Source organism: Homo sapiens, chromosome 7 (assembly GCF_000001405.40).
Source record: "Homo sapiens chromosome 7, GRCh38.p14 Primary Assembly".
NCBI lineage: Eukaryota > Metazoa > Chordata > Mammalia > Primates > Hominidae > Homo > Homo sapiens.
Genome location: NC_000007.14, coordinates 129795599 through 129805361, shown reverse-complemented (window position 1 = coordinate 129805361; position 9763 = coordinate 129795599). Strand labels below are relative to the sequence as shown.

The following is a 9763-nucleotide window of genomic DNA, read 5'->3' as shown; positions in this document are numbered from 1 at the left end:
GACAGGCCACAGGCTCAGGACGGAGCCTGGGTCCCTCGAGAGACATCCCAGAGCTGCTGGGAGTGAAAGGTTTGCCAGGTGGGTGCAGGGGGAGAGGCAGGGCTGAAGGCCCTTCCCAGGAAGGTAAGAAGAGCTGCCTCCAGTCTCAGGCTGGATAAATGTCCCAGGGGTCCCCCCATCCCGCAGGCCTGCCCCCTGAGCTGAGGCACCCCCCCCACTCACCAGTGCTCTCTGGATCCACCCATCCTCCAGGCCTGCTTCATCCCCTAATGCCCCCACCCCCAGGAGCCTCTGCCACTGGGCCGTGTTGCTGTCACCACACACGGTCTAGCCTGCTATGGTCTGACCGGGTCCCCTCCACCAGAGTGACCCCCCACATTAGGGCAAGCAATGGGCCCCAGGACCCCAGAACATCAGTGCCAGTGACAGCCTCAGAACAGACCTGTCCACCCCCAGTAAGGAAACTGAGGCCCAGCCCAGGAAGGCCTCACATCTGCGCAAGGTGTCCTCAGAGGCCTCCCTGGGTCTTTCCTAACGCTTCCCATCCAGAAACCTCTCTATGAAGTGATGGTGGGAACAGCTAACGCCCAGGACGTTGAGGAGACATCGCTGGTTTGTGTTTCTCTTCATTTCGATGCAGAGCTGAGAACAAGGAAAAGTAGAGGCATTCAATGGCCCCAGCAACGTAGGGTGGAGCCTGGAGGCAGTGGGCAGCCGGGCTCAGATTACTGCCCCACTCTGGAAACAGGGCGCGGGGCCAGCAGGATCAGTGGCCATTACTAATGCATATGCTGGCTGGGGCCGAGCGGCCATCTCAGCCTCCCTAGCTGGGCGGCCCGGACAGGCCTGGAGGCCTTAGGGCCTGGGGTCGTCCCAGGGCCCCCTTTATGCCAGCCCTGCCTCCGCTATGGCTCTGGGGCAGTGCCGAGAATGACCTGGGCGGTGGGACAGTCAGCCCCCACAGCCTGAGGGCTCAGAGTCACAGGAGGGAGGGGTCAGGCCGAATCCTGGTCCGGTGCTCTCATGTGACATGATCCGCTGCCCCCAGATCCTCCCAAGACACATCTGTGCCCAGCTGCCTCCCCTGGCACTGATGCCACCTCAGATTTGAATTTCATCTTTGCAAGGGAAATGGCCTGTGTTCCTGGCAGGGCCTCCATCTGGGATGTCTCCTTGCTCTTCCCGGGGTGCTCTACCCAGACCCTAGATGGGTAGCTTGCTTTTCCCTAAAGGCAGGATGGAGACAATCCCCGGATCCTTGGGCACAGGGCTTTCCTGGGCTGGGCCTCAGTTTCCCCACCAGGATTCCTGATGCCTTCAGTTTTATTGATAGGTCTGTGTATGCCCTGCCTTGCTGTGGAAAGGACTTCAGGCATTTTGTACCTAACAACCCACTCAGTCTCCTGAGGTACGGAGGCCGATCTCTGGCCTGTTTTCCATGCGCGGTCACATGCTTCAGCACAGAGAGCTTAAGCGACTTGCTCAAAGCCAAACAGAACTCACCCAAGGTCACAGGCCAATCTCCTTATCGCCAGCCCAGGGTTCTTTCCACCGGACTTGTATACCTTCCCATGCATTATTTGCACCCGGCTGGCAGGGCAGTCATCGACCACATCCCTCGTCTCACTTTTCTGGAACATCGACACCGGCCTCTCTGCACTCCCTCTAGCTGCTCTTGACCCACTCCTGTGAGCTGGAGGACGTGAGTGTTTAAAATTCTTAGCCAAATCCTTACCCTCCGGAAAGAAGACAGCCAAATAATGTCTCTGTCCTTCTCCGGGGAGGTCTCATCCCTCGAAAGCCGCCTGTGTCATCCTCATTAGAGTCTCATTCTAAAGTCATTCATTCAGGTCCGGCCCAAATGCAAATATGACACATTCACACACACACACACACACACACACACACACACACACACACACACATTCACATTGCAAGAGCAGCTACAATAAAACATCTTTAATTCATAATTTGACATTTGTGATAATAAGAGCGGGAGAGAATGTACCTTTGCACCCTATATGAAGAAAAAAAAAAGGCTGGGTGAGGTGGCTCACACCTGTAATCCCAGCACTTTGGGAGCCTGAGGCAAGCAGATCCTCACCTGAGGTCAGGAGTTTGAGACCAGCCTGGCCAACATGGTGAAACCCCATCTCTACTAAAAATACAAAAAATTACCCGGGCAAGGTGGCGGAGGCCTGTAACCCCAGATACTCGGAAGGCTGAGGCATGGTAATTGCTTGAACCGGGAGGCGGAGGTTGCAGTGAGCCAAGATTGTGCCACTGCCCTCCAGCCTGGGCCACAGAACAATACTCTGTCTCAAAAAAAATAAAAAGTGTTGAGTAAATAAATAGCATGACTGTGAAAAGAGACATATTTAATATCCTACAAGAATCATATCCACTGGTTCAAGGTTGTCTTCCAGAGTTATGGCAGGGAGACCCGAGGACAGGAATCTGTCTCCTCAGCTGAATCCTGGCCTCCGAGACTCTTCGTATGAAACAGACCTCAGCACCATTTGGGCTCCTGCAGAGCACTTATGAGCTTCCTCTGTGTATGCTAACGGTGCCACACTTCCTAAACCCCAGGCTCCACTCCCTCCTGTGTTACCTACCAAGATGAAGAGCCCTAATTAGGCAGCGGACTCCAAACCTCCTCAAAGGCTGTGGGCCTCCCTGAAGTGCAGTTTGTGGTTGAGTGTCTGGCTCAAGCATCAGTTCTTGGTGCCCTCGATCATGGACAGGATGGTGGGGGATTTCTCCGAAATCGGGATATGTTCTGAAAGAGACACCCAGTAGGCTTGCACAGAACAAGGCTGCAGATACAGAACCTCTCTAAAATGCCAGAACTGACTGTTTCCGGGTGCTTCAGAAATAGACCTGACAACCCGAATGTCCACAAAAGGGAGTAGTCATAGGGATACTCCCTGAGAAGTGCATGCTTAGGTGATTTTGTCATTGTGTGAGCATCACAGGGTGTCCTTACACAAACCTAGATGGCGGAGCCTACTCTAATTCATGATGAGGTCTGGCTGTTTTGTCCAGGCTGGTCTTGAACACCTGGGCTCAATCTTCCTGAGGTAGGAGGCAGGACTCCACTCAGGAGGTGAAACTTGACTCCAGAGGCTGGGCTGGGACACCACACCGAATTGATTTGACGACTCTAGCTACAATAGAAATGGGGCGAAAGCACCTGCCCATATGACACACCCACAGATGCTATTGCAGTTTACTGTTGCCATGCAACAACCGGAAGTTACCACCCCTTTCATGGCAAGATCCCCAAGTTACCACCCCTTCCCATGGCAATGACCTGATGACCTGGAAGTTACCACCCCTTTTCTAGAAATGTCTGCATAATCTGCCCCTTAATTTGCATGTACTTAAAGGGAGCATCGGTAGGAGTGCAGAACTGCCTTTGACCATAAGTCACCTCATTAGCAGAAACTCAAGTGGTATGGAAAGGGCTTCTTATCAATAACAAAAGAGGCTTCCATCACTCAGAAAATTCCAAGGGTTTGGGAACTCTGTGCCAGGACCCAGGAACAAAGACCAGATATTTTTCATATTATACCACACTGCCCACGGCGCCACTGGGAATAGAGATCTGAAATTTGGATGGACACCATCCTGGAGGGACAGACTTGCCATCAACAGTTTATGGCTGTCGTGGACGTTGGGGGTGTGGGTGACATCCCAGAACACCAGCTACATTTGTTTCCTGAAGCTGCTATGACACGTGACCACAATGAGGGGCTTCAAACAACAGAAATTGGTTCTCACAGTTCTGGAAGCCAGAAGTTCAAAATCGAGGCAGGGGCAGGGCCTTCCCCACCTGCTGAGTGTGTCTGTTCCAGGGGTCTCTCCTGGCTGGTGGGAGCTATGGCAGTCCCTGGCGCTCCTGGTAGACGCGTCACTCCAGGCTCTGTCTGCACCATCACCTTGTCTCCTGCTCTGCTGTGTCCATCTCCCCGTGTGTCTCTTATAAGGACACTTGTCATCGCACTTAGGAACCACCTGATAATCCAGGATGACCTCCTCATCTCAAAATCCTTAATTTAATTACATCTGCAAAAGGCCCTTTTTCCAAATAAGGTCCCATTCACAGGTTCTGGGGATCCAGATGTGTATGTATCTTTTGGAGGACACCATTCACTCCACTACACCAACCTTGAAGAAGGAGAACCCAGGCGAGGACCCTGGCTTCCCAGTAGGGAAAGAGTCTGCAGGCACAGGGACGCTGTGGCCCGGTGTGACGAGGGCAAGGGTGTGGGAGACGGAGCTGGGAGGCATTGGGGTAATGATCTGCCTCTCTGAGGTCCTTCGACCTGGGGAAGTGGGAGTCTGGGTGCTGAAAGCAGAGAAGCCCCTTGGTGGAGGAACATCTTAGCAGGTTCCCCTACTTAGGTCATTGGAAGGCTTGCAGATGAGCACGTGCCTGGGGCAGGAAGGCCTCTTGTCCAGTTCTGATTCCCCAGGCCTGACACTGCTTTCCCAGAGAACTGTCGGGAAGAGAGTGTACACCCTGCCTCATGCTGCAGATGCTGGTCCTCAGGAAGTCCTGCTTAGCATCTCTCCTCATGCCCTCATGCTGCAGCCCTGGCAGATGGCCCCGTGTTGGGCTGGGAGACATAGGCACAAGGTCTTTTGTTTTATTTTTATTTTGGGGACAGGGTCTTGCTCTGTCATCCAGGCTGTAGTTCAGTGGTGCAATCTCAGCTCACTGCAGCCTGGACCTGGGCTCAAGCGATCCCCCCACCTCAGTCTCCCGAGTAGCTGGGACCACAGATGCATGTCACCATGCCCGGCTAATTTTTTATTTTTTTGTAGAGATGGGGGCCTCCCTGTGTTGCCCAGGCTGGCCTTGAATTCCTGGGCTCGAATGATCCTCCTGCCTCGATCTCCCAAAGTACTGGGATTATAGGTGTGAGCCTATAATCCTGGGCAGCAGAGGGTCTCTTGGAAAAAAACACACGTCAGGATTGGAGGCTGCTTCCCAGCTCCCTGGTGACAACTACGTGTCTTTGGCTTTGGGGGACAGGTGGGTGGGGAGGGACCCAGCTGCCACCTGGAAGAGACGGGCCAGTCGGTCTTGGAGCTTCATTCCCAGCCTCTGTCAACTTCAAAAGCAATTTCCTTTATTGCTGGTGCCATGGGCTGCAACTCTGGATGAGCGAATCAATGGCAGGAGCAGGTGGGCACAGTTAATACCTGTGTTCAGCTTTATGTTTTCTCAGTGGTAAACAAAGATAACCTGAACTCTAAACAGTCAGTTCCAGGCAGCCCGCAGAGCTCCCCACCCACACTCCTCTCCCTCATTAGATGATGGGCTCATTTGAGCAAAAGGCCTCAGAGCCCTTCCTGGACACCAAGACTAGGGCTGGGTGGGAGTGCAGGGTTCCAGGATGAGAGTCCTGGCACCCCGGCTGGTGGGACGAGCGACTCTGCCTGAGGAAGCTTCCTGCCACTCTCCCGGCCCCCCGCCTGCTCCAGCATCTCAGTGCTCCACAAGCAGACAGTCCTATCTCGCTGCAATTGCTGTGATTATCTCGTTACTCCTGGGGCCTCCAGGCCTGGCTGGCAGAAGGGCACAGGGGCACCTGGGCACCCCTACCACCTGCCCCCCATCCAGTGGGCAGGGGCTGCTTCTGCATCCTGCTGGACCCAGGGCTGGAAGCTGGGGGCAGCTCTCTGCTGGGTGGGCACCTGGGCCTGTGTTCAGTCTCCGGAGGCTGCTAGGGGCGGGGTCCCTCCCCTCCTAGCCTCCTCCCTACCCATGTCTCTGAGGGCAGGACATCATAACTTGGCAGGCCCTCCCTGGCTGACAGTGCACAGCCCCTCAGGGGGCGCCCCTGCAACACCCCAGATGTCAACCCCAGGCTGACCACGGGGATCCCACAGCAGTTCCCATGGGCTTAAGGGGTAAGCCCCCTAGTTACTAGGCTTTCGAACTCTTACCCCAAATGTGCTGAATGCTTTCCATACCTGGGCCTGCAAGGCAGGCACGTTAACCTCATCTACTCCAGGTAAGGAAATAGACTCAGAGACTGGTGGTGTGAGCCCAGGGCACTGAGGGGTTCCCTGAACTTTCCACCCATTGCTTTGTTTGACCCCACGAAGCCCCTTAAGGTGGGCACGCTTGTTATGCCCTGTGCATAGGTCAGGAAATGCGGTGCCTTGCATGAGGTCAGCCAGCCAGGGCATGGCAGCCACCATGGTGCCACGCTGCATGGACCCGAAGGAGGCTGATTTGAACCCCACCTCTCCGGCTAGGGACACCTGGACATTGGGCCTTTGACGCTTCTCTCAGCCCTGACCCCACAGTCAGCAAAAAAGTCAATTCTAGAAGCCGCCTCTATGAAGCCCCACATTCTCTCTCCCATGCTCACACCCCGCATCGTCTCTGGGATTTCCAGCTGTCTCCTCTCCTCCTGCCCTCGGCTTCTGTCCATCCTCACCGCCTGTCACTGCCGTCCCCCCACTGCCTATGGGATCACATGGAAAGCTCCTACCCTCCAAGACCCACCATAACATGACTTTCTGGGCCTCCTGCCCAGAGAAGGAAGGGTCTCGCCAACCCAGGCCGCTCCTCTCCCACCTCAAGCCCCGGGCCCATCCCCCAGGAGGGAGGGGTCTCCCCCATCCTCACTGGGGGGTCTGTCCCAGGTACTGCAGGAGGGAAGAAGCACTTCTGGCTGAGGATCAGAGAAGCTTTCAGTAAGAAGCAGCTTTTCAGGTGGGCCTGAAGGTGGGCTGGGGGTGGGTCAGGTGGGTGGGGGCAAAGCTGAGGTAGGAAGGCTGGCTCTCTTCTGCCACCCAGCCCAGCTGGCCCCAGGTCCCCAGGTATCAATATTGAATCGTCCATGTTTCTGCGGGTGCGGGACCCCTGCAGCCTGAGGTGGGGGGATGGCCAACCTCGAACCCGAGGACAGACAAGCAGGGCAGATCCCATCTCTCCTCCCCATGAAGAACTTTCTAGGCTCCCTAGGCAGCCAACCCACATCAGCTCAGCCCAAGTCAGCCCTCCTCAAGCCTCTGCCTGCAGCCAGGGCCCAGCGCCTGCTGGAATTATGACAGTGTGTTTTGTGTGTGTGTGTGTGTGTGTGTGTGTGTGTGTGCGCGTGTGTGTGCGTGTGTGTGTGTGTGCGCGCGCGCGCGTGCGCAGCTTCTGTAATATGAACCAATAAATGTTTTCGATTTGCACACCTTTGACCCGAAGACACCACTCATCAGAATGTATCCTAAAGAAATTCGCTCTTTCGCAACAGCCAGAAATTGGAAACTGCTCAGCTGTCCTTAGGATGGGCTTTGAATCAATCAGTCAAAGCCAGAAGATGAAACACTATGCAGCTGGTCATTGTCAACAGAATAGAATTTTCCCAAATGGGAAAAGGTTACGCAGTGAGAAAAGGAAGATACAAAAACAGTGTATACAAAATGGTCCCATTTTTTATTAAAACGAAGTGCACATTGGAAAAAAGATGCAGGAACCTGCAGCCGACGGCAGCCAGCGCTTTTCTGGGGTTTGCGTTGTCTGCCGTGGGCTTCCCTGCGATAGGCAGGACTTCTGTAATGGAGGCCAAACATATGTTTTCAAAGGAAATTAGAGAAAAAAGAAAAATAAAATCCCAAAGCATCCAACAAATTCTGCTGGGCCACACACCCAAGGCACACAGGCATGCGGGCCTGGCACCACCCCCAACACCCTCCCACCCCCGCCCCCAGCTTTTTCCCCAGCTTCTCTCACTCAGGTAATGTGATCCCCCCAGGGGAGGGTCTCCTTCCCCAGACTCCTCTCCATAAGGCCAGCCGTGTTTCCTGGGCCCAGGCCCAGAAGGGAAAGGCCTCCTCAGGCCTCGTCTGAGAGCAAAATTATCTCTGCTTCCCATACATGGTACTTCTGGAGTTGCAGTGGGTCTGCAGGACCCTCTGAGATTGGGAGGTAGAGGGGGCGCTCCCTGCCTCCCCATTGGTTAATTATTGTGTAATAAGATACGGAATTGGCTCCTGGCCGGCAGAGACAAAGAGAAGAAATATGCCTCAAGGGTGTCCCATTTCTGTGCACTGTGCTAAGAGCTTGACCTAGATGATTGAATTGAAGCCCATCATGCTCATGAGGTAGGTATGTTTCTAGCCCCATATTGCAGGTGAGGAAACTGAGGCTCACAGAGCTTAGGTAACTTGTTTAAAGTCACACAAGTCTGGGCATGGTGGCTCATGCCTGTAATCCCAGCACTTTGGGAGGCTGAGGCGGGCAGATCGCCTGAAGTCAGGAGTTCAAGACCAGCCTGGCCAACATGGTGAAACCCCGTCTCTATTAAAAATACAAAAAACTGGCTGGGTGTGGTGGCAGGTGCCTGTAATCCCAGCTACTCTGGAGGCTGAGGCAGGAGAATCACTTGAACCTGGGAGGCAAAGGTTGCAGTGAATCGAGATCACACCACTGCACTCTAGCCTGGGCGACAGAGCGAGACTCCGTCCCAAGAAAAATAATAATAAAATAAAATAAAAATAAAGTCACATGAGCCAGGAAGCCAGCACAGTGCTGGTCTCCCAGGCTTGTCCCAGTGGTGCCAGGTCCTAGCCCCTTTCCTGGGTCATCAGGGAAGAGGGAGCTCACTTCTGTTGCTTAGCTGAGGGCCGTGGGTGGGACAGGTCTGGTGAAGCCCTCTGTTCCCAGCCCTCGTCAGCTCTGCCACAGGCAGGTGGGACCTGGGAGCCCAGCCATGGACCGGCTGTTCCTGCTGCCTGCCCCTCTCCCAGGACAGAAGGGACAGGGCTTACCCCTTTAGGGCACGTGCCTGATTGCCTTCTGGATGGTAGAACCTGTTCCCAGGTGAAGCGGGCTCTCCCAGGTGGCTGGAGTGGGAGGGGCTGGAGTTTGGAGTCCTGGGTTTTCCCCATATCCAGGGAAGCAGGGACCAGTCCCCTACGCTCCTCTCACCCTCAGGGGACCCCCTTTGGCTGTGCAGGCTGGCCCTTTGGGGAGCCTGAGTCCTCAGCACCAGGTGTACTAGTCATGTTGCTCAGCGTCACCTTGCAGGACAGCAGGGAACGCAGAGGGAGGCTGAGGAGGGACTGTCTGAGGTAGACAGCAGGGGACAGGAGGGCGAGACTCAAGCAGACAGAAGTGAGAGAAACAGAGCCTGCAAGATCAGGAGCACACAGATTCACAGAGACACTCAAAGCTTGGGAGGGCGCCCACTGGGCACCGGCAGCCTCTGTGGGACATTTTAGCAGCAGGGACTGAGGGGTGGGCCAGGGGATAGGACCAAGGTAGAGTCACCAGACTTAGAAATAAAAATACAAGGCCAGACGCAATGGCTCATGCCTGTAATCCCAGCACTTTGGGAGGCTGAGGTGGGCGGATCACTTGAGGTCAGGAGTTCAAGGCCGACCTGGCCATCATGGCGAAACCCCATCTCTACTAAAAATACAAAAATTAGCCAGGCATGGTGGTGCACACCTGTAATCCTAGATACTTGAGAGGCTGAGGCAGGAGAATCGCTTGAACCCGGGAGGCGGAGGTTGCAGTGAGCCAAGATTGCACCACTGCACTCCCAGCGTGGGCAACAGAGTGAGACTCCGTCTCAAAAACAAACCAAGAAAAAGAAAAGTACAAGATTCCCAGTCAAACTTGAACTTCAGACAAATAACAAATACTTCCAGTATAAGTATATTCTGTGCAATATTTGGGACATACTTATACTAAAAATGTACTCATTGTTTATCTGAAGTTCCAATCTGAATGGTGTCCTGTATT

At 54.4% G+C, this 9763-nt stretch overlaps 3 annotated features.

The window, feature by feature from the left end:
- Nucleotides 2186-2685: an enhancer, noted in NCBI's record as "H3K4me1 hESC enhancer chr7:129442517-129443016 (GRCh37/hg19 assembly coordinates)". NCBI's record gives its function as "activates a minimal SCP1, AML or CMV promoter by ChIP-STARR-seq in naive H9 embryonic stem cells {active_cell/tissue: H9 hESC(naive)}" and the evidence as "EXISTENCE:reporter gene assay evidence [ECO:0000049][PMID:30033119]".
- Nucleotides 2686-3187: an enhancer, noted in NCBI's record as "H3K4me1 hESC enhancer chr7:129442015-129442516 (GRCh37/hg19 assembly coordinates)". NCBI's record gives its function as "activates a minimal SCP1, AML or CMV promoter by ChIP-STARR-seq in naive H9 embryonic stem cells {active_cell/tissue: H9 hESC(naive)}" and the evidence as "EXISTENCE:reporter gene assay evidence [ECO:0000049][PMID:30033119]".
- Nucleotides 5139-5750: an enhancer, noted in NCBI's record as "H3K4me1 hESC enhancer chr7:129439452-129440063 (GRCh37/hg19 assembly coordinates)". NCBI's record gives its function as "activates a minimal SCP1, AML or CMV promoter by ChIP-STARR-seq in primed H9 embryonic stem cells {active_cell/tissue: H9 hESC(primed)}" and the evidence as "EXISTENCE:reporter gene assay evidence [ECO:0000049][PMID:30033119]".